Source organism: Homo sapiens, chromosome 2 (assembly GCF_000001405.40).
Source record: "Homo sapiens chromosome 2, GRCh38.p14 Primary Assembly".
Lineage (NCBI taxonomy): Eukaryota > Metazoa > Chordata > Mammalia > Primates > Hominidae > Homo > Homo sapiens.
The window spans coordinates 107793499-107817437 of record NC_000002.12 but is presented as its reverse complement, the minus strand read 5'-3'; the positions used below and the strand labels follow the sequence as shown (position 1 = coordinate 107817437).

Genomic DNA, 23939 nt, shown 5'->3' with positions numbered 1-23939 from the left:
GGGGTGGTCGATACATAGCAAAAAATAATGATTACAAAATTTAGTACCTAGAAGTAGAATGTTAATGAGTCAAAAATTGAAAACATGTGGCCTTTGCTTTGGGAATGAGTGGTAGCCAAAACTGGAGAAGCAGTGGGGAAATTTTTGACCAATAAAAAATGAAACAAAATGGCAAAATGTTAGTGTAAGCCGAAAGAAATCATGAGTAAATTGTTATTGAAGGCTAAAACCGGGCAACCCATGCTATTTAGTTGTGAAATGATTGTGTTCTGAGATAACTTGGATGACAGAAAAGGTCCCCAGTAAAATATATGGATCTAGCTAAGGAGATTTCTAGGCAGAATATTGGAAAGGTCAATTCAGTTCTTCTAGCTTCATTATATGTTACTGCACAAGAGAGAGAAACTAAAGCAGAAACTTTTCAGCTTACGAACAAAATTTAGAGAAAATCTAGCATCTCTAAGAGTGGCTGAATGGAAAATTAAATTATTTTTCATCCTTAGTTTCTCTATTCTGCAAATGATTCCCATTTTAAGCAGTGGCCTTTGGCTGAGGATCAAGTCAAGAGCTCAGACTCTTTGGTAAAATATACAACAGAGGCTCACAAACCTTAGCATCCATAAGAATTATCTTAAGGGCTTATTAAAACAGAAGATCCTTTCCCTCTCCTGAGAGGTTCTGATTTGGTAGTTTTCTTAATGGGGTGCAAAAGTTGCATTTCTAGAAAGTTCTCAGGTGATGCTGCTGGATTGGAGACCATGCACTGTGAAACACTGACATAGGAAGATTTAAGTTTATGACAATTAGACCTGCTAAACTAGTGCGATTGGCCTTATGGGGTCTCTGAGATGACAGGAACAGTTTGCCAAGAGAAGTAACATGAATAATTTCGGACAAATGGCAGATAATAGTAGATTGCAAAATATGACACAAAGTTCCTCTGATCCCTATGATGTAATGTTTCTGTTCTTCCCATGATCAAGCGAAGTTGAAATTGCTATTACCTTTTGTGAGGTCACCATTCTTCCCACCTAGAAGTGAAGTCTGTTTCTCTACCCCTTGGATCTGAGCTGACCTTGCGATTTGCTTGACTCAGTGGAATGCAGCAGAGACATGTTGCAGGCCTTCCAAGCTCAGACTCAAGAGGCCACAGCCTCCTCTTTTGACCTCTTGGAAGGTAGATACCATGAGAAAAAGTCTGAGCTAACCAGCGAGAAACCTCCTGGGGGGAAATCCAGGCATTTTAAATTATTTTTGAAGGCTAGAAAAAGAAGATGACTTACATTGTGGCAGAACAACTTCTCCTCTATTTGATATGGATGCCAGCAATTGAATTGTGAAGTAGTTTGGTACATAGATATAGATATGCTGAGATATATCAAGTCTCTGCATTATAAATAAAAGATACATAACTTCCAAGGTCAGAATATCTCCAATTACACATAGTTTTCTGAAATTTTATCTAGAAAATAAAGGATATATTTTAAAAGTCAACAGAGTTTTATTAAAAATAAACTTTCCCTGCCTTGGAGACAGATGGTGTGTTATGGACGGTATCATGTAGCACGGTGTCAATATACACACTTGACTATACTTCCAATTTGGTATAAGTGTATAGAAAGTAAAAAGCAGTAACTTTTCCATTTTTCATTCACAGTTCATTTTCATTCAGCAAGTATCTTTTCATAACCTACTATGTGCAAGATCCTGTACTGGGTGCTATGAATGTAAACAAAACAAAAGAAAAATGCCTGTTTTGAAGGAGTTTAGACTTGGTGGGGGAAAAAGGATAATGAGTAACATAATAAGTAAAATGAATATGTTGAAAAGTGGTAAGTGATAAGGAGAAAAACAATAGGAAAGGAGCATAGAAAATGTTTGGAAGTTCTGGTTAAATTAAAGCTATGAGACTACTAAAGGGAAAATGGCACGCCAAGTTCTCGGATGTGAGCATGCTTGGAGCATTGGAATAACAGCCTGGGGCAGAGTGACTGGAGCACGTGGAGCAAAGATGATGCCTGGTTGAGATCAGAAAGATGGTGGGAGTGGGGTAGACTTCAACCCATAGTCAGGATTTTGGTTTTTCCTCTACATGAGGTGGAAAGCCATTGAAGAAATCTGAAAATAGGAGTTACATGATCTGACTTATAATTTTTCCCATGATCACTGTGGCTGTTGTGTTGGAAATAGACTGAAAGGTCATAGGGAATAACCCAGGTGAGAGGTGGTTGAGGATAGTAATACCACAGTGAGAGTGAGGATGCGGTGCTGAAAGGTCAGGCTCTTGATACAGTATGAAGTCAGAGCCTGTGGGACTTACGGACCAATCCAATGCAGAGCCTGAGCAAATGGGAAGGGTGAGGATGATTCCAAGGTTTTTGGTTTGATCAAATGAAAGCCTGCAAGTAGCATTAACTAAGAGAGCAAAGAATGAAAGTTTGAAATGGCAAATCTTAGGAACTCATGTTAAGTGTGAGGTGCCTAACAGACATCCAAGTGAAGGTGTCAAGTGGACAGTAATTCACCTAGCATTTGGGGCCGATGTCTGAGTTGAGAATAAATATTTGAGAGCCCTGTGCTCTATTAGCTTACCAAAACAAAGTACCAGAAACCGGGTGGCTCAAATAACAGAAATTTATTTTCCCACGATTCTGCAGGTCACAAGTTAGAGATAAGGGTGGCAACAGGATGGATTTCTTCTGAGGCCTCTCTCCTTGGCTTGTGGACAGCTGTCTTCTCCTTGTGTCTTCACATGGTCTCTCTATGCCTCATGAGGTACCTCATGGTACACTCATGACCTCATTTTAACTTAATAACCTCTTTAAAAACCCTATCTCTAAATGTAATTACATTCTGAGGGACTAGGAGTTAGGAATTTAAAATATGGTTATTTGGGGATGGGACAATTTGGCTATAACATCAACATATGTGATATTTAACATATGACCCTGGATAAAACCATGTAGGATGGGCTTAAATAAAAATAGCAAACATGCAAGGATGAGTTTTGAAGCCCTACAATACTTAGAGGTTGGAGAGATGCAAACCCGAAAAGAACATTGAAAATGAGAGTTCAGAGATGCAGGAGAAAGTCAGGAGGATGAAATGTCCTGAAAGGCAAGTGGATAAAGTCTACAAGGAGGAGAGCATGGACAACTCTGTCAATTGCTGCTGAGAGGCAAATGAGCTGCCTTGTCATAATATGGCCGGGCGTGGTGGCTCACACCTGTGAGACCAAGGCGGGCGGATCACGAGGTCAGGAGATCGAGACCATGCTGGCTAACATGGTGAAACCCCTTCTCTACTAAAAAAATACAAAAAAAATTAGCTGGGGTGTGGTGGTGGGCGCCTGTAGTCCCAGCTACTCGGGAGGCTAAGCAGGAGAATGGTGTGAACCAGGGAGGCGGAGCTTGCAGTGAGCCGAGATTGCGCCACTGCACTCCAGCCTGGGCGACAGAGCAAGACTCCGTCTCAAAAAAAAAAAAAGTCACAATACTAATAATAACAATGACACCAATAACAATAACAGTGGCAAAGCATCAACAATTATAGCTTCTACTGAGTGCTTACTACATGCTAGGTGTTTTCCTACCATATGTTTCTTCAAATAGTATTTGTGAATGAGTACTAATGCTCAGAGAGATTAAGTAGCTCACCCAGTCAGGACCTTCTACATAATTTGCAGGGCTCAGTGAAAAATGAAAAATGAGGTCCTCTCTTCAAAACATTAAGAATTTCAACTTGGCAATAACAGAGACTTAGACCAAGCCCAGGGTCCTTCTAATGTAGATCTTAAGCACGGGTCACACATCCACAAATCTGGCCCACTCATGGCATCCTCAGTCAGTATTAGAGATGCATGAGGGCCTAGGTAGGCTAACTTCAATCCTAACTTCGCCTCGTCTAAATAATCCCTTATCAAAAATGGGAAGTGCTTCATAATATGCCAATAGTTATACCTAACAGAGCCTCAAGAGATATTTCCTGGGACTCTGTCATTACTCACAAGGCTTCAAAAATCCAGCTTTCTTCTGGTTGAACCTAAATGTTGCTTAGGTCATCTGAGTGGGGTGAGCATAGGAAGCTGGGATGACTGCCTATTGGAAACACTTCATTTGAGAACGAATTAAGAACTCCGTGACTTTTAGCTGTGACTGTGAAATCCAGCCTTCTATGCATGAAGCAGGAATGTGAGAAAAGTTAGATTGTGTCCAAGTTTGATACTTATTTGAGTTGACACCGTCTGCCACGGGTGCTAATTTTGAGGCCTTCTCAGTGTTTATTGCTGGTGCACATTTTAAGCCTCCGATAGGTCTTACACCTGTCAAAACAGTTGTTGATTGACATAAAACTTGGCATTAAAAACAGTAGAATTAAACACTGCTTTCTCACACCTGCATTTATTGAGCCTCATTTTCATGAAATAACAATTTTTTTCTTACCTTTTTTCTTTTTCTTTTTTAAAAAATTTTTTGGTCAGTTTTCATGTGAAGCACCACTGTGCCACTGTTACAGCATTTTAAATTAGTTTCACCACGGTCATCAGCTTTGTGATTATCTCTGCTTCTTGAACACCTGGTCTGATTTTGGGAATTATTTGCCATCTGGCTAAATACTGAGTAATTATAACAACTTAATGGCAGGATAAAATACTGTTTGATCAGAGGCTTGATAGTCTTTTCAAAGAATTTGGTAGCATTAAATAAAGCTCTGTCATTAACTTAATAAATGTATTCTCTTTACAGACTTTAAAGGTGCTACTTTTAGGGACATCCTGGGGGGATTTCCTTGGTGTTAGTTTCTCCAGACATCGTGTTGCTAAAAGCTCTGAGGATCACTTTTCAGGTTCACTTATATTACGCTTACTCAATACATTGCCATCATATATTAAAGCAAGAAGTGATATATAGCTTTTATCTGACCAAAAAAAACCTGAAATGACACTAAGTTCACCATTTATTATTAGTGTCACCCACTTGCCTGAAATACTCCCTCCTTTCAGAATGGAACATTCGAGAGTGTGGGTTTTGTTCATATGCAGCATTTTGCCATGAAGAGAAAGAGGACGCATTGGAAGGAAGGATGCATTTTAACACCAATATGTATTTTGAGATTGGACGCTGGATGATTCCATAAAAGGGGCGGCTGTGAAGATAAAGAGGATGCATTGGAAGGAAGGATGTGTTTTAACACCAGTAAGTATTTTGAGATTGAACACTGGATGATTCCGTAAGAGAGGCGGCCTAATGTAATGCTTAAGAGCTTGTATCCTGAAATCACACTTCCTGGCATGGTCCTGGATCTGCCACTTACTAGCTCTGTGTTCTTGGCTGAGATATGACTTAAATCTGCTTCCTTAACTGTAAAGAGTGGATAATAATAGTCATTACCTGATAGAGTTATGATGAAGAATACATAAGATAATATTTATTAAGTTCTCTAAACACTGCCTGATATATAAAATATGTGCTACTTAAGTGTTGCTAAATAAATGTGACTATGGAAAACTATACATACACAAAACATAAAAACAAACAGCCATTCTTTATTAAGAATTGGCTAAGATTGCCTAAGACTCAAATGGATAAAAAGGCTCCTTGTTCAGGACAAAACAAGACAGGTAATCCATGCTCCCAAGCCCTCTGTGCATCTGAGGTCAGCCTTCCCTTTAATATGCAAACAGATTCCATACCATCTGCATCACATACACAACATTTGGAGAGTCATGGCAGATTAAGCCATGCTGGATTATTGCTTGCTATTGTCTGCCTGCAATCCCAATATGCTCTTATTCTACTTTTGGCTTTTCTCTGTCCTGTTTATTTTTGAATTTACTCATTTGGCAAGTATGTATGAGCATGAAATGCAGCTCTGCTGACACAGAGGTAAGCAATGCAGAAAACAGCACATACATAAAGAAATTCCAGGTGATGATAGGTGGTGACAACAACAGAAGACGGTGACATGGGGGCATGACATGGTGTGGGCTCTTTGACATCGGGTGGCTCAAGGAGGCTCTTGGGAAAGGTGACATAGAAGAGAAGACCTGGGTGACAAAAGGGCCCAGGAAATGGCAACAGCCCTGAGCCGGGAAACCTCATTGTGTTTGAGAGGCCAAGGGAAGGCCAGGAGCTGGAGCAGCTGGGGAGGGAGAGAGAGGCAGGGAGGAGATCGGGAGGGAGCACAGTTTGCAGCCTGTGACCATGGCATACACTGGCTATTCTGTGCAGTTCCCAGTAAGACGGGACATGTGCCTTTTCTTCATTCTCCCACAGCTCTGCCACTACATGGCTATTGTGATAGTGAACTATTTGCAAAAGTTTGGAAAGTGCAGAGAGGGAAGAACTTACAGTGGAAAGCTGGTACTGTCATTCTGGAACATTCTTCCCCCATCCTCACCCAGCATTTCTCCCTGGCTTCTTTTTATCTTCTGTCCCTGGTTTCCTCTGTGTTACTAGATCACCTCCCCACTTCTCCTATTTCTCCATCAGACAGTGTCTTGCGACACTCATGCTCCCCCTACCTTCTTATGCAAAACTGTTCTCCCTTCTCCACTCCCAGGGGTAGCTAGCTGCTGGGCCTACTTTGTATGTCTGAATATATAAGGCCTCTGCTAAATAAGGAGCTGTCCCCTCTTAGCTATGTAAAAAAACTAAATGAAGTGTTCAAATTATTTAAAAATTTAATAATTACTTACATTATTTTGTTTTTTTTTAATTCTTAAATGTATTCAGAATCAAATTGTTCTAATTCTGCTCCTGTAAACAGAAGAGAAGAATACATTTTCTGATTATCTAGAACAGACATTCAGGGCTCATGCTTTTTATCGGCTTTCTCTCAGATTTATATTTAGAGCCAGATACATTCAGAGCAACCTAGATGTGACATTACCTGTAGAAAACTTAAACAAATTGTTTACTTTTTCAAGCCTCCCCTAGGAAGACCCTGTAAAAGTTAGGCTCCACTGTAGAAGGTAGTTCTCCTCTCCAGAAGTAAACAATATGGCATCCTCACAGAGAAAGAATCATAGTGAAAGAAATTCAGGTAGAGATACTAGGGTTCTGTTTGTGGCACAGAAAACTTGGAGTCAGCGACCACGTGCAAGTTGCGGATAGCTCTGAAGGCTCCTCCTTTTTTGACAAACTATACAGAGCAAGGGAGCATTTCCTAAGATCTGGAGGCTACCTGTGACGGCAGCGTTTTCGGGGGCAGTGGGCAAGGGATTCAACTGAGTTGATATCCTGGCCCACCCAAACTTTACTGCATACCAGTTTGTATGAGCAGCTTAAGGACTGTTTACCTGAGCTCTGGTGAGCTGCACAAAGCATGCTATTCTGCCTGGGGCCAGGTGCAGCCTCGTCCCAGAGCCCATGAACAAGATTGGGCACTGCCCTCCAAATGCCACTCACAGGGCCCTTGAGACAGCCCTCCTACCTGCAGCTGCTCTCAACTAGGCTAACACCGTTAAACAGAGTTTCTGCAGTACCATTCTGTCTTGGTCAGGTTCTTTGCACACAAGGACAGCTGTGAGCCCACAGAAATCTCTCCCTGAACTAAGGCTCTGGTGTATTCTCCAGAAAGCAAGCAAAATGCCCTTCTCACACTCCATGTTTCTGTGTCAAGTATTTACATTTCATATTGGAGTCTAGGTGCCAGGAACTCTTGTGAAAACATAATTATTTATGTATTATGTGGAAACCGAAGCTTCATTATTTCAAGAAGCTTCAAGCCTGAAAATTGTATTTAAAGTAATTCACACTAACAAGACATGTCTTTGTCCATATCTTTTTTGAGAAGTTTTATGGTGCTCAGGATGAATTATACCCATCCCTGAGCTGGACTTACTTTTTTCAAATGTATCAGTGAGGCCACTTGGCCACCTATATCTGGAAAATGGTACAATTTACTTAACATTAACAGGGGAATTTCCTTGCAGTGACTGGCATAACCAATTTATGACCCAGTTTCTTCATAAGGACCCCTCTAAATATTAAACTAGGAACCATGCATCAGAAGATCAATAAGCCCAGTGTTTTGAATAAAATGAATGGTGTGTTGTAAATGACACTGTGTAAAACAAGTGGCCTATAATTAGCCAAATAGATAGTGAGTATTCACCAGTCATCACACAACAATGTCTGACTTTAGTTGTAAGTGCTGGACTGTTACGACAGCAGCGAGCCTAATGGAGTATGGCTGCATTAAACAGTGCCAAGGGGTACATGAGGTCACAGTTCAGCTGCCAGGCACATTGACCACGCAACCGATCCCTGGGCTGAGCAGTGAAGCTCATGCAGATTTTCTGCTGAAAGGCAGAGGGCATGAATGAATCCGATTCCATTTTATTGCCAAGTTGCTGCCTCATGGAATCTGCTACGTTGTCTTACACACTTAGAGACTGTTAATACCAAGTGAATAGAACATTCGACTGTCAGATTGCTGTATTTAAAGACAACACATGCTGTATTTGCTGAATTTCTACATTAGCAAATGCTTTCCAATGTGAGCTTTACTTTAATTATCATAGAACCAGCGTTTCAATTTTTTTTTTTTTTTGACATCCTTCCATTTTGAAAAGCCAAACTCAGGATTGGCATGGACTGACAGGCTAGGAATGAATTCCTAAGAAGGGGACTAAAACAAACAGTTAATAAAGCAGCATTGTTAGAAAAGACATCATGACCTCATAATGTAAACACAGACTCAAAAGGGTTGTGCTAAAAATATTACCTGGCAGCAGCGGCCGCTAATAAAACTCGACTCTGGGCTGGGCGCGGTGGCTCAGGCCTGTAATTCCAGCACTTTGGGAGGCCAAGGTGGGTGGATCACCTGTGGTCAGGAGTTCGAGACCAGCCTGGCCAACATGGTGAAACCCCATCTCTACTAAAAATACAAAAATTAGCCAGGCGTGGTGGTGGATGCCTGTAATCCTAGCTACTCGAGAGGCTGAGGCAGGAGAATCACTTGAACCCAAGATGTGGAAGTTGCAGTGAGCTGAGATCGTGCCACTGGACTCCAGCTTGGGCGACAAGAGCAAGACTCCATCTGAAAACAAAAACAAAAACAAAACAAAAACCTCTACTCTGTGGCTACGTACAACTTCTTTATGAGCCGTAAACACATCAGTGTTTTCTCCGAAGAGCTCCATGGCATCACATTTCACAGTCAGTCCCCTTGTCAAATGTCACAGAGCGGAGTCACTTGACAGGTTTCAGAATAATCACTGTCGACGCACTAACATGCTCCAACAACTTCCCGTAGCAAACATTAAAGCTTTCCTGAGGAAGAGGCACTAAACACTGGCCATTGAAATGACCATCTGACCATCCACAGGCCACAGATGGAACATGCAGACATGAGGCTCCTGGCAGGGATAGTGCCCACAGCTTTTGGTGGCACAGTCTGTCAGTACAGCTGATGTGAACACCCCAAATTTAATGTCCTTGGTGCTGGCCATACTGTATCCTTGGCACACACAGCTCATGGGGATATGGAATTATCAGACAAAGATCATGGAAAAGTGCCACTTTTGGAAAAGTTTCCATGCAGAGTATCATAGTGTGTGATGCTGTTTTTAATGAAAACAAAGTCTCCCTTCACAGACACTGTGTTTGCCCCTTTGGAAATAGCAGCAGGCAAGACAGATATGGCTCAGTTGTTGTCTCCATGGACCTCACTGTTTAGGAATAATTCCAGGGAATTTATCTTGAATCCTCACTTTTGAAAAATGTGTAACAGACAGACTGTACTGTATTAGCTGTTAGAAATAGCAGTAGATAGGTTCCTCTTTTGCTTTCATCTTCCATTTTTTCCATTATAAACTCTTGTACATGACAGAGAATATAATTAGTGAAACAAACAACAGAAATATGAAGATAATTAGTTTGTATGTAGTAATGGCAATATTAAGGTTTTTATATTAGTTGGGACCATAGGAATAGTGGTTAAGGGTGTGTGTCCTGGAGCAACGCCACATGGGTTCAAGCACTGGTTCTATTTACAAGAGGTGCATCTGACCCTTTTCTTACCCATTCTATGCTTCTGTTTGCTTGTTAGGAAAATGACAACAATAATAGTATTTCCTTCCTGTGGTGGTTATCATCTTTGAATGGGGTAAGATATATAAAGCACAGTACCTGGAACACAATAAGTACTCAATAAATGTTGGCCTTTATTACTTCCTTATATTTTATTTATGTCTTATCACGGCACCTAATGGGAAAATAATTGTGCTGGAGAAAGCGTGCTGCCACTTTGAGATATAGGCCACTCATAATGAGCTCTTGAATCTATCACACCAACATTTGGAGGCCCTACTCTGCACAGATCACAGATGGGCTCCACTTGACTTATATATAGCAGTGCTGTGAAATAGGGCGGGAAGGATATCTGCTGGTGATAATGATGGCAATTAAACTGGCAGGTAATGTGCTAACTAGTTGCAGTGTTGTTAGCGCTGCTAAGACAGGAAAAAAAACAGTGAGAAAGATTTATTCTTTGAGGCATATAGGAAAGAAATATTTTAAAAAGAATATTCAGTGTAAGTCCTGGCAGTAGCAATTTACAGTTCCCAAGATTTGCACATTCCCCTTCCTCACTCAGGCCTCCACCATCATCTACTTCACCGATACCTTATGTTGGATTTTCACTATGATAAAACTATAATAGAAGGTAGGAAATATAACAATTAGGAGTGCAACCCTTTGCATCTGAAAGACATAAGTCTTGCTCCTGCCCCGTACCATGTTTTAACTTTGGGCAAGTTAATCTGACACTTCTTAGCTTGCTGCTAAAGATTTCACATTGGCTAATTCCCTGTGATAAAGAATCTGGCTGGCCTTTGTCTCCTATTCCAGCTAGGTATCCTCTAAACCCTTGAGATTTCATGAGTGGGAAGAGTGCCTTTGTTACTCATGTGGGACCTGAGAGTTTATGCTAAGAAGATGGAAGATGACTTAGGATACGGCTTCCCCTGCTGGAAAGATCAATCATGGAATTAGAGAATCAGGGTTTTGTGCCAAATGATATTGGCCTAAACTCAGGGGAGGCAAGGAGGCTGTAGAGTGACAGAGTTCATTCATGTGGCCAGTGATTCAACCATTCATGACTACATATTGAAATCCCAATAAAAACATAGGACACTGAGGCTTGGTGAGCTTCCCAGGTGAGTATTCACAGTACTCTGTGTGTATTGTTACACATCGATGTGCTGGCAGGGTGATGCAACCTGACCACTTGGGGAAAGAACACCAGAAGCCTCATATTTGGGATCCCCCAGACCTCACCTTATGTGACCCTTCTTTTGGGTGTCTTGATCTGCATCCTTTTTCCCACAATAAAACTGTAAACATAGTATGGCACTTTCCTGTTTTTCACGTATCAGTTTAGTGAATAATTAAACAAGAGGGGGTGCAGGAACCATTTGTATCCAGTTGGTTAGGAAGTAAAGGTGGCCCTGGGACCCCCCAAGCTTGCAGCAGGTGTATGAAGTGAGGGTGACCTTGTGGGAGACTCTGAACTCAACCTGTAAAATTTGGCCCAATTGGCCGGGTGCGGTGGCTGTAATCCCAGCACTTTGGGAGGCCAAGGCGGGCAGATCATGAGGTGAAGAGATTGAGAACATCCTGGCTAACATGGTGAAACCCCATCTCTACTGAAAATACAAAAAAATTAGCCGGGCGTGGTGGCAGGCACTTGTAGTCCCAGTCACTCAGGAGGCTGAGGCAGGAGAATGGCGTGAACCCGGGAGGTGGAGCTTGCAGTGAGCAGAGATTGCGCCACTGCACTCCAGCCTGGGTGACAGAGCAAGACTCCGTCTCAAAAAAAAAAAAAAAAAAAACATTTGGCCCAGTTCCGGGTATTATCAGTATCAGCAGTCATTTCAGACTAGAATTCAAAAAACATCAAAAAAATCTGATAAGCCCTGTACTCTAGGGCAATGGTTCCCAAAGTGGGATTGCTGGAGGAGTGGCATCTAAGCTGCCTGGGAACTGATTAGAAACAAAATCTGAGTGCCAGCCAGAGTTCCTACATCAGAAACTGTGGGCCTGGGCCTGGCACTTTGTGCTTTCACAAACCCTCCAGGTGGTCCAGCTGCACTCTTTGGTTTGAGAACAACACTCCTCTTTCTAACTGAGCAGCTCTCCAGTTAGAGAGAGAATCCAGAGCTGGGCAGACTGTGTTTGAATGCCTGTGTCACCACGCGTTATCTCAGTAATCTTGAACAAGTTGCTTAACCGCCCTGGGCCTTGGTTTCTCTTCTGCAAAGATGGAGATGGTAATGTTAATAGAATACCTCTCTCCCCATCTGCCATGGGGGTTTTGTGAGGGATAAAAGACTTAGTACATACAAAGCATTTTGAGTAAGACCTGGAACATGAGGGCTTTGCAAGTGTTCGCTGTCATCATCTATGAAACAGGAATGCTGCTACTTGTCCTGTGGTGAAGATGAAATGGGATAGCATATATAATATACTTCCTGGTGCATATTGCGTGATCCGTTAATGATCACTGGTTTTAGTATCTACAACTTCAACTCATTTTAGGCACATAGCAAATATAATTGTTTTCCTGAAAAGCAAGTAGAGGTTACTTATGATCAAGCTGCTTGGAATTTTCATAAGAAGAACAATCCCATTCCTGACTCCTTGCCAAGCCAAGGGGATCTCTATAATATATTACTAAGTGTGTAATTACATTAGATATTAGCAATTATGGCAGAAATACCCTCATGGGTACAGACTTCAAGCTACTACTGAGAAGAAAACTGAAATTTGTTCCTCATCAAAACTCAGCTGGTTGTTCAAGATGAAGAAACATATTTGTTTCTACTTTAATCACCATTTATTGAACTGTTTGTGACATTTTATGATTATTTTGAGACAAGAAGTGCTCTGGCTAATTTATTGATATTTGTCAATGAAAATTTATTTTTATTTTATTATTTTTTTGAATGTACAAATGTAGTGTATCTCAAAGACTGTTCCATGGATACATCTGCGTTAAAATCCCCTGGGTTTCCTATGGTTAAAAACAAAACAAAACAAAACAAAACAAAACAAAACAAAACAAAACAATTTATCAGTTTACATGAATGAAAACCTCGAGCATGCATGCTGAAGTTTGAGAACCATTGTTTTAGAAATAACAGGATATTAGGATATTTAGAAAACAAAACAAAACATAAAAATAAGACTCCAAAAGGTGTTTCAAGACTAGAAAGAATTATGTTGAACAATGACTGTCCCACCATTTATTGTCGCTGTAACCTTGGGCAGACTGCTTAACTTCTCTGGGCCTTGGTTCCTCCTCTGACATTGATTCAGAAGAGAGACATGAGAACTAGGATGAAGTGGAATGGAAACGCATTAAAGAGTCTATCGGCCGGGCGCGGTGGCTCACGCCTGTAATCCCAGCATTCTGGGAGGCCGAGGCGGGCGGATCACAAGTTCGGGAGATCGAGTCCATCCTGGTTAACACGGTGAAACTCCGTCTCTACTACAAATACAAAAAATTAGCTGGGTGTGGTTGCAGGCACCTATAGTCCCAGCTACTAGGGAGGCTGAGGCAGGAGAATGGAGTGAACCTGGGAGGCGGAGTTTGCAGTGAGCCGAAATTGCGCCACTGCACTCCAGCCTGGGCGACAGAGCCAGACTCCGTCTAAAAAAAAAGAGTCTATCAAGCCTGGACCAGCCATTCTGGAGATGACACAGGCTGCCTTTTGTGAACCAAATTACATACCAAAACAGTTTCAGCTCTTGTGGCTGAGACAAGTTGACTTTTGTCTGTCCTTCCGCAGCACAAACCTCGATAACCCTCTGAGTATATCTGTGCAGAGCAGGCCCATCAGGATCCCAGATCACCACTCTTGAGGGTAATATTCATCTTTTAATGATCTGTTCTCAGTGCAAGCACATGACATGTGCCCTGCCTGCCATTTTCCCCCGAGTTGCTTTAGAAATAGAGTACAAAGAAATTCCCTTGTTTCTACAAGTCTCCTAAAGGCCAGGCATGTCTGTACAATCCAGAGATAAAAATTGCTCTCCCTCTCTTCAATGCATAAAAAAGCAAAGATAATCTGCTGCTATTCTCATGGGTCTGGTAATGAGAATTTTTTTCCCCCTTGGACAGGTGCAGTGAACAAAATGTACATAGACACACACAGACACAGACACAGACACACACACACACACACACTGAGAGGCTTATCTAAACTTGAAACTTAGTGAGTTCTAAATAATTCATAGATAAAAATAGGAAAACAGATGACTTGATCTTCAGAGAGCTCAGAAAGCTCCTGTTAGAGTTTTGCTACTGTGAAACCTTTTACTAGTCCTGTTAAAATGGAACTTGTCAATGCTTATCTAATTCTCTCCCCTGCTCTTCACCAGGGGAGGTACAAATGAGCTATAAAATGGGAGTGGATACAGAAAAAGGAACTGTCTGGTCGGTCATTGAATAAATGAGAATTATGTCTGGGATACTTTACCATCAGAAATCACTGAGTAAAAATGAGGCAGTAGGGGTAGTGTGTGTGTGTGTGTGTGTGTGTGTGTGTGTGTGTGTGTGTGTTGATGGGGTGGGTGAGGGTAGTGAGGTCAGAGATGGTAGGGCTACTGTATACAGCAAGTTGGCCCATTAGGTGATCTGAAACCTTTTTGCTACTGACACCTAGAAATGTCAGGTAAAATGTAACAAATACACTTTTAAATCCAGACTTAAGCTTGTAAGAAAGTAAGGGAAATTCCCAAGGGCCAAAAGCAAAGAGAAAATTACAAACAACAGTGGTCAGTGGGCACCAAACAACAGCTGCTCTGGGAATTCTTCCAAGCCAAGATGCACACATTTAAGGAACATAAAAAGGTAAATCATGTACCCAATCAAGATGAAAGATTAGAACCAGAAGTGAGGGAAGGGATAACCCTCAAAGGAAGCCTTAAATAAAAAGAAACTGTGCATTGATAAAGGGAGAGAATGTGGAAGCTTACCTATCATGGTAAGCTTGGTGGGGGAAAAAAAAATCAATAACCTCCCAGAAAATTTGGATTCACAAGTCTTCCATAGAGATGGATTAAAAGTTTGAATTTACATTGTTTTAATGATCCCAAACCCTCCAAATGTAAAAGTAACATAAAAGGCTGAAAACCCCACTGAGATGTTTACACAAGCAAATGCACAATGTATTTGGAGCCAGGTGGTATATATTCCCATTTTACAACCCTACTGAACATGTGCTCACAATCCAAAATTATGAAACAGATGAGGATACAGGCCACAATGAGCAAGAATGAACACAAACAACAAACAACAGGTCACCCCAGGGGCTTTCGATAATAAAAATAATATGAACGTCAAATATAAAACAAGTATATTTTAAAATAACAAGAAATAAAAATAAATAACATTATGAGAAATGAATCAGATACTATCCAAGCCTAGGCATAATTGAGGATAAAATTGTAAAGAGGAAGAGAGCTTGCTTTTTGGGATTCCTCTGAGATTTAGTAATAGCGGTGTCTTTAGCTAAATTATTTAATCTGTTTCTATATAAACAGACTGATCCTAAGATCTGATCTTTACCCTCTTGGTTTTCCTGTCTCCAGGCAGAAACTATCATATCACATTCTTACTACTCTGACAAGGCCAATGATACCACTGTGTTTGGTACCTGCCTCTCTCACAGAAAGAATTGACAAAGAAGGCAGCTGTGGGGCTGGCAGCAGCGGGAGCCAGGTGAAGATGGAGACAGCTGTCTGATTCATCCCTTTGATCAACACCAGCTTGCAGTTTGATGGGTTACTGGGAATCCTAGCTGGGGTGATAATAACCACGGGCCAAGGCCAGCAAGCTCACACTTTGCTTACTCATTCATTATCCTTTGTTACACAAATATTTCCACTTTCAGAATGCAGATTTCATTTGTGTAGGTTAGAGTTGTTTGTTATACATATATAATTAAAAATTAACACAATTAAGGAATTGAACTGTGTTTATCATTAACCATTAACTTCAGTGCAGGTGAGAGTCAAAGTGGGGGCAGGTATAAGTGATAGGCACAGTTCACAAGCAGACAAAATTATGACACTTGCAAATATGTAGACCATGCTATGTCCGCAGATGCTTACATCCAGGAAATTCTCTCTAAAGGAAGTGCTGAAATCAAAGCAAATTCAAACAATTTTCAGAGGGGTAGAAATTAACCTGCAGTAACCCTGTAGACGTCCACTTAATTCCAGACCTTTTACTGTACTAATCATTCTGGTAAAAAGAAGCAAGAAAATCATGTCCTTTCACTATCTGTCTGTAATTCAAGTATTTATAATAAAATGTGCATGGGGAGCAGCCGCTATTAGTAGATTTGAAAGAAAGGCTGTTAAATCACTTCTCAGATAGGAAGCTCATGTTAGATGACAGAATACCTTTTTCTTGCCTGAGAAAATGACATCTCCCAGAAATGTGCAAAGACATGAATTGTCACAGGGAGTTTCTTCCCTAGAAATTGCTGTCTTTGTAAGAGGTCAGTCTGAACAACTTTTAATAGCCTCAGTCTGATGAGAGGAGATGGGGCCAAGAGGATTCTACCTAAGTCAATGTGGTATTTTATAAAGGGTATTCGTTGTGGGATTTTCAACAGTGAATTTCTGATTTGCATTAGCTAAGCTCAAAATAAAAGTGTATTATGAAAGAACACAGAGGATAAGGTGAGAAAATTTTTTTCTTATTCTTTGTTTGTATAGATGTCATTGGAAACTGTTTGGGAGAGTGTTGCTATTTTTTTAAGATGTTGCGTAACTCTTTAAACCCAGTCATACTTTTTTTTTTTTTTTTGAGATGGAGTCTCGCTCTGTTGCCCAGGCTGGAGTGCAGTGGTAGCAGTGGCATGATCTTGGCTCACTGCAACCTCCGCCTCCCAGGTTCACGTCATTCTCCTGCCTCAGCCTTCTGAGTAGCTGGGACTATAGGCACCTGCCACCAAGCCTGGCTAATAAACCCAGTTATACTTCTTAACTTTGAATTTTATGCAGCCTTCAGCACATCTTACCATTACTCAGACAAGATACCAAGTTTCAATAACAACAAATATTCTTGTGCTAGTATTCATACTTCTACACCTGTGTGAATTAGGTTTATAATTATTGATATTGTTCAATATTTATTGAACATCAAACTCTTAAATAGTAATCAGTAATATCAATTCTGTGAGTACAGAAAAGAAGTCTCGGTCTTTGCCTTTGGGGAAAGTTGCAATGAGGGTGGGTGCCAGTGGTCCTCAAGCTGGCTGATCTCAACCTGCTGAATGAAGGCACTTGGCGGTCTGCATGACAAACTACTCTAGCAGATTTAACAAAGTCCTTTCCCACTTATCTAGCTTTGTTCTTAGAATGTTGCTTTGTTAACTCAGTGGCCCTGTGCTCTCTTTAATGGTGATGAGTTTTCATAGCCTGTGCCTCCTTCTGCCCCTGCAGCTTGAGGTGCTACCATGGTGGTCATGCCCAGCTGGAGATTCTACTTCTACATGCTCCACAGGAAACCAGCCTTCAGGAAGTTACTGAAGTTCCCTATGCCCCAATGTAATTAGCTGTTAAACTAGAAACAACATATACTCAGTTATCTTACAGGTGAGGCTATCCTCTTGTGAGGATAAAGTGAAATGGTGCATAAATACTTCCCTTGGGAACCTCAGGGTTCTAGACAAGCAAAGCCATGGCAGCATCTTTTCTTTCCTTCTCCCGTAGCAACTGATCACAAACTCCTTCCACCGAGGAGAAGGGAGTGTGAGCTCTGCTTCTGGTCTGCCAGCTGGGAGCAAATGGTCCAGCCTGCCTTTCTGAGTGGGCCAACTAACGTCAGCCTCACACTGTAATCCTGATTTCCTCATTTTAAAGATGAGATAATGCTATTTTCACTGGGTTTTTATAAAAAGTAAGAAGATAAAATGTGTGAAGAGCCACTCATGTATAGCTACTTTCAGGTCTGGGGCATTGGGGTTTTAGATGGAAAATATCATCAGAGCATCTTTTCTTCAATGAAGCCCTATGGATTGCTTCTTAAAATTCATGACCACCAAACACTATTCACAGTAGAGGTGCATTAAGAATCACAGCTCACTCTACTACCTTTCCATGAAAGCCATAACATGTTGCAAGTGTTCTGGACCTAGGGGCCATGCCCTCCCCCTGAGCCATGGATGACGTTACTAGGGTTTAGACTGTTTTACTCCAGGAGGGAGAAGGCCTCTGTGCTGCCTCCTTCCCTGGCAGCCCACTCCCATTCCCTATGCATGGTCAGATCTTGGTCCATCTCACAAGCCCACCTGCAGGCTGAGCAGGTCAGGTGTATGAAGGGTGAGACTTGCCCTTAGCCCAAATAGATCCCTTTAATGATCCATAGAAAGTAGGCTCCTGGGCCAAGGAGATACATTACGCCCTCTCTGTCTCGCATAAAGCCAAGGAGGGTTTCCATCTGTAACTCCTGAGATCTTGCTCCTGGCCACTGTCCAGGGCCTGAAGGAGTTAACTCAAAAAGACTGAAACTGACAGAGATGCTTGGTGTGTGGGCTTTGCTGTCCCCCAGCTGAGGCCAGCCCGCCAGCGCCTATGATGTCTTCATCATGCATCCATGTCTTCAAGGTCCAGGGAGGGAACACTGCCTACCAGCTTCCTTCATCCTCCCCATCTCTCTCACTAGCCTCATCACCTGGGAAGCCTGATGCTTGCAATGATGCTAGGACACTGTTTGGGCTTCAGTTAACCATGGGTACAGTCCCCATTTGTTGAGGATTCCACCACATTGTCCATGCTCATCCTTTGTCTTCTGCCACCCAGGAGGTCAAGGCCAAAGCTGACCCAGATTATTTTCCTCACTGGAAGGAGGCCAAGCCATTTTTTTTTCCTTATTTGTACACATCCCTGAACTCTCCTGTAATTCGACTTCTGCCTGCTCAGGACATTTATTAGATTCCTATATTCAGGGTAGGGCCCAGTTGTGTGGGTGCTGTTTAAGGCTTGTGAGGAGTGGCCCTGATGTCCTGCCTCCCTCATGGGCTGGAGGATCCCCTGCACTGAGGGACAGGGCCAGGGCCCTCTGATGCCTTTGCTTCCTGCCTGTTATCCTTTTTGGACACATACATTTCCCTCAGGAACTCACCATGAGGTGGAATTGTGGGCTAAACTAGGATTTTATATTCTTGGATCTCCTAATCATGGTTACATTTTAACGCTAAGAAAATGTCAGATAACAACTCTTAACAAGTTATTCAATTTTCTATGTCTGAATGTCCCATTTTTAAAATGGGAAGGAAATTGACATAATTGTGTTTTAAAAAAGGATCAAATGAGGTCTAATGTGTGAAGAGTCAGCCACAGGAAGCCACTTTTAGTTTTGTAGTTTTTTCTGAGACAGAGTCTGTTCTGTTGCTCAGGCTGGAGTGCAGTGGTGCAATCTCAGCTCACCGTCTCCTGGGTTCAAGTGATTCTCATGCCTCAGCCTCCCAAGTAGCTGAGATTACAGGCAAGCACCACCATGCCCAGCTAATTTTTGTATTTTCAATAGAAATGGTGTTTCCCCATGTTGGCCAGGCTGGTCTGAAACTCCTGACCTCAAGTGATCCACCTGCCTCAGCCTCCCAAAGTGCTGGGATTACAGGTGGAACCACTGGGCTTGGCCGACTTTTGCTTATTAAACAATGCTTACTCCAGGCCTGAGGAAGCTTCACAGTACCCCTGGTTGCTACATAAAAAGTCATCAGCAGGTATTGAAGTTTCTCTTCCTGAACATCATGTTAATCTTTATATCACAGACCATTTTTCTGCAATCTTCCCTTCTGCTTGTGAAGAGCTAGAATTAATATGGAATTTTTGTATTTAGTTCTATATTTTATGCATCATTTTAATTTTTCTTGCTGGTGTTTTATTTATTTATTTATTTATTTTTATTTTTTACTTTTTTTGAGACGGAGTCTCACTCTGTAGCCCAGGCTGGAGTGCAGTGGCGCGATCTTGGCTCATTGCAACCACTGCTTCCCAGATCCTGGTTCAAGCAATTCTCCTGCCTCAACCTCCTGAGTAGCTGGGGATTATAGGAACGTGCCATCATGCCCAGCTAATTTTTGTATTTTTAGTAGAGACAGGGTTTCACCATGTTGGCCAGGCTGGTCTTGAACTCCTGACCTCGTGATCTGCCCACCTCGGCCTCCCAAAGTGCTGGAATTACAGGTGTGAGCCACCGCGCCCGGCCATAAGACTAAGTTTGCAGTATTTATGTCACTGCCAGATATCTGATACTTTTATTTGGCTGCTAAACTTGAGCTTCCGTTTGGAACCCTGAGCCCCTGTTTTATTTGACTCTCATGGCTCCTGGGTTTTCTACTTACTGCCTATTTCTTTCAGGCTTCCAAGCACCTGCTGGCATGTTAGGCACTGGCTTTCATGCTTTTCAGGCAGTTTCTGGGGATCTACCAGAAAGCAAATAAACTAAAGCCAGTGAGTTATTGCCCCTCTCTGGTGTCTGACAGTATTTCATCTCTTCCTACCAGGGTAAATTGCACTGTTTATGAATCAGTTTTTAAAGCTGTTTTTTGGGATGAAGACTTAAACACTCAAACACATAGGACCTATTATGGATAAACATACAATAGAATAATATTCCAAAGTAAAAAAGGAAGGAAATGCTGACACATGCTACAACATGGATGGACCTTGTGGACATTGTGCTAAGTGGAGTAAGCCCGTCACAAAAGGACAAATATTGTATATTCCACTTACATGAGATGCCTAGAGTAGTCAGATTCATAGAAATAGAAAGTGAAGTGTTGGTTCCAGGGGCTGGGAGGTGGGGGAAATTGAGAGTGTTGTTTAATGAGGACAGTTTTAGTTTGGGATGATGAAAGAGTTCTGGAGATGGAGGGTGTGATTGTCACACAGCAACGTGAATGTACTTAATGCCACTGAGTCATGCACTTAAAAATGGGAAAATGATACATTTTATTTTATTTTATTTTATTTTTTCTGCATATAGTTGTGCTTTTACTTTTTATTTTTTTATTTTTATTTTTTTAATTATACTTTAAGTTTTAGGGTACATGTGCATATTGTGCAGGTTAGTTACATATGTATACATGTGCCATGCTGGTGCACTGCACCCACTAACTCGTCATCTAGCATTAGGTATATCTCCCGATGCTATCCCTCCCCCCTCCCCCCACCCCACAACAGTCCCCAGAGTGTGATATTCCCCTTCCTGTGTCCATGTGATCTCATTGTTCAATTCCCACCTATGAGTGAGAATATGCGGTGTTTGGTTTTTTGTTCTTGCGATAGTTTACTGAGAATGATGGTTTCCAATTTCATCCATGTCCCTACAAAGGACATGAACTCATCATTTTTTATGGCTGCATAGTATTCCATGGTGTATATGTGCCACATTTTCTTAATCCAGTATATCATTGATGGACATTTGGGTTGGTTCCAAGTCTTTGCTATTGTGAATAATGCCGCAATAAACATACATGTGCATGTGTCTTTATAGCAGCATGATTTACAGTCCTTTGGGTATATACCCAGTAATGGGATGGCTGGGTCAAATGGTATTTCCAGTTCTAGATCCCTGAGGAATCGCCACACTGACTTCCACAACGGTTGAACTAGTTTACAGTCCCACCAACAGTGTAAAAGTGTTCCTATTTCTCCACATCCTCTCCAGCACCTGTTGTTTCCTGACTTTTTAATGATTGCCATTCTAACTGGTGTGAGATGGTATCTCATTGTGGTTTTGATTTGCATTTCTCTGATGGCCAGTGATGGTGAGCATTTTTTCATGTGTTTTTTGGCTGCATAAATGTCTTCTTTTGAGAAGTGTCTGTTCATATGCTTTCAACACTTACTTATTTTCTCCCATTTTGTAGGTTACATATCTTTTACCATAATTTTAAAAATGTGGGACCCATTAATGTAAGCTTTCCTTTTTTATTTAAAACTTTCCTTTGAGATTACTGATTCACATAAAGTTGGAAGAAATAAGAGAACCTCTGCCCCCTTTATTTCTTATGCAAATATCTTGCACAATTATAGTAAAACATCACAACCAGAACATTCTATCATGGCAAGGATCACTCATGTTATTCTTTTTTTCCCCCATAATCTTGACTCACTGCAACCTCCCAGGTTCAAGTGATTCTCCTGCCTCAGCCTCCCGAGTAGCTGGGATTACTGCGGAGATTACAGGTGCATGACACCACGCCCGGATGATTTTTCTATTTTTAGTAGAGACAGAGTTAAACCATATTGGCCAGGCTAGTCTCGAGCTCCTGATCTCAGATGATCCACCCGCTTTGGCCTCCCAGAGTGCTGGGATTACGGGACATACCACCCTGAACATGCCCAATCTCCTCTGATGTTATTCTTTTATAGCTAAACCCGCTCCCTCCTCATCCCACTATCCCACCATTGGCAACGTGATTCTGTTTCCTATGTCCATAATGTTGTCATTTCAAACTTGTTATAAAAATAAAATGATACATAGGTGGCCTTTGAGGATTGGCTTTTTCTACTTAGTATAATTTTCTGGAGATGAATAGTGTGTTTCCTGTTATTGCTGAGTAGCATTTCATGGTATGGATGTCCCATAGGTTTTTTAACCTTTTACCTATTGAAGAACATCTGAGTTGTTTACCTTCTTTTGCTGTTAAAACTAAAGCTGTAATGAACATGCATAGAAAGATTTTGTGTAAATATAAATTTTCATTTCTCTAGGATATCTGCCCAAAATTGTAATTTCTTGGACATGTGGTAATTGGATGTTTAGTTTTATAAGAAACTGATAAACATTTTTCAGAGTGGCTCTACCATTTTGTAATCCCACCAGTGATTGTGTAAATGATTCAGCTTTTCCACATTCTCACCGGACTTTGGTGTTTTCACTGTTTTATTATTATTTTTTATTTTAGCCATTCTGATAGCAGTGTGTAGTGATATGTCATTTTATTTCCTTAGTGGCCAGTGATGTTGAACATTTTTTCTTGTACTTATGTACCCTCTGCATATCTTCTTTGGTGAAATGCGTACCCATGTCTTTTGCCCATTTTCTAATCATATTGTTTGTTTATTGTTGCTGAGTTTGTGTGTTTGTTAGATAATCTCCATACAAGTCTTTCTCAAATATGTGGTCTATAAATATTTCCCCTACATCTGTAGCTTGTCTTTTCATCTTCCCCACAGTCTTTGCAGAGCAAAGTTTTAACTTTTGATAAGGTTCAATTTATTAATATTTTCTATTAAGGACTGTGCTTTTAGTGCCAAGTTTATCAACTCTTTGTCTTGCCCTAGCTCCCAAGGATTTTCATATATATGAAAATTTTTATTTTTATAAGATGTAAAGTTTATTTGTATAAAGTTTATTTGTATAAAGTTTTGGTTGAGTTTCATTATTTTTTCCTGCTTATGGATGTCCAATTATTCTAGCTCCTTACGCTTGGGACTGTTTTAGTACTTTTGTCAAAAAAAAGAGCTGGGCATATTTTTGTGGGTGTACTTCTTAGCTTTCTACTCTGTTCCATTGATTTATGTGTCTACGTGTCCACTAATACCACATTGTTTTGTTTATGATAACTACATAATAGACATTAGTATTGAGGAGAGTGATTCCTTTCATTTTACTCTTACTTTTAAGATTGTTCTGGCTATTCTAAAGCCTGTGCCTTTCTATGTAATTTTTTAAGAACTGTTTTTCACTCTCTGTTGTGTCTTGCTTTATTTCTTCTCCTAGATCTCCAATGGTATGGAAGTTAGCTCTCCTGCTATTGTCATAGGTTCATGATTTTCACTGTATTTCTCTCTGTTGTTCAGACTGAGTAAATTCTATTGATCTCTCCTCAAGTTTACTGACTCTGTTCTCTCTCGTCTCTGCTCTACTATTGAGCCCATCCAGTGAGCTATTGCCTTTTC

The 23939-nt window shown here is 41.1% G+C and overlaps 1 long non-coding RNA gene across 2 annotated transcripts in view; it reads right to left on the bottom strand.

Moving 5' to 3' along the window:
* GACAT1 (gastric cancer associated transcript 1) overlaps positions 1–23939 on the bottom strand; it is a 68018-nt gene that overhangs the window by 4692 nt on the left and 39387 nt on the right. Inside the window, exons 3-4 of one of the 2 annotated variants that reach the window (NR_126369.1) lie at positions 6698–6758; positions 5090–5360 (exon numbers count right to left, since the gene is read on the bottom strand). This is a non-coding gene — a long non-coding RNA (gastric cancer associated transcript 1). Of the gene's footprint in view, positions 1–5089; positions 5361–6697; positions 6759–23939 lie in introns of those variants that run through there. The other variant, NR_126370.1, reaches the window with a different exon arrangement.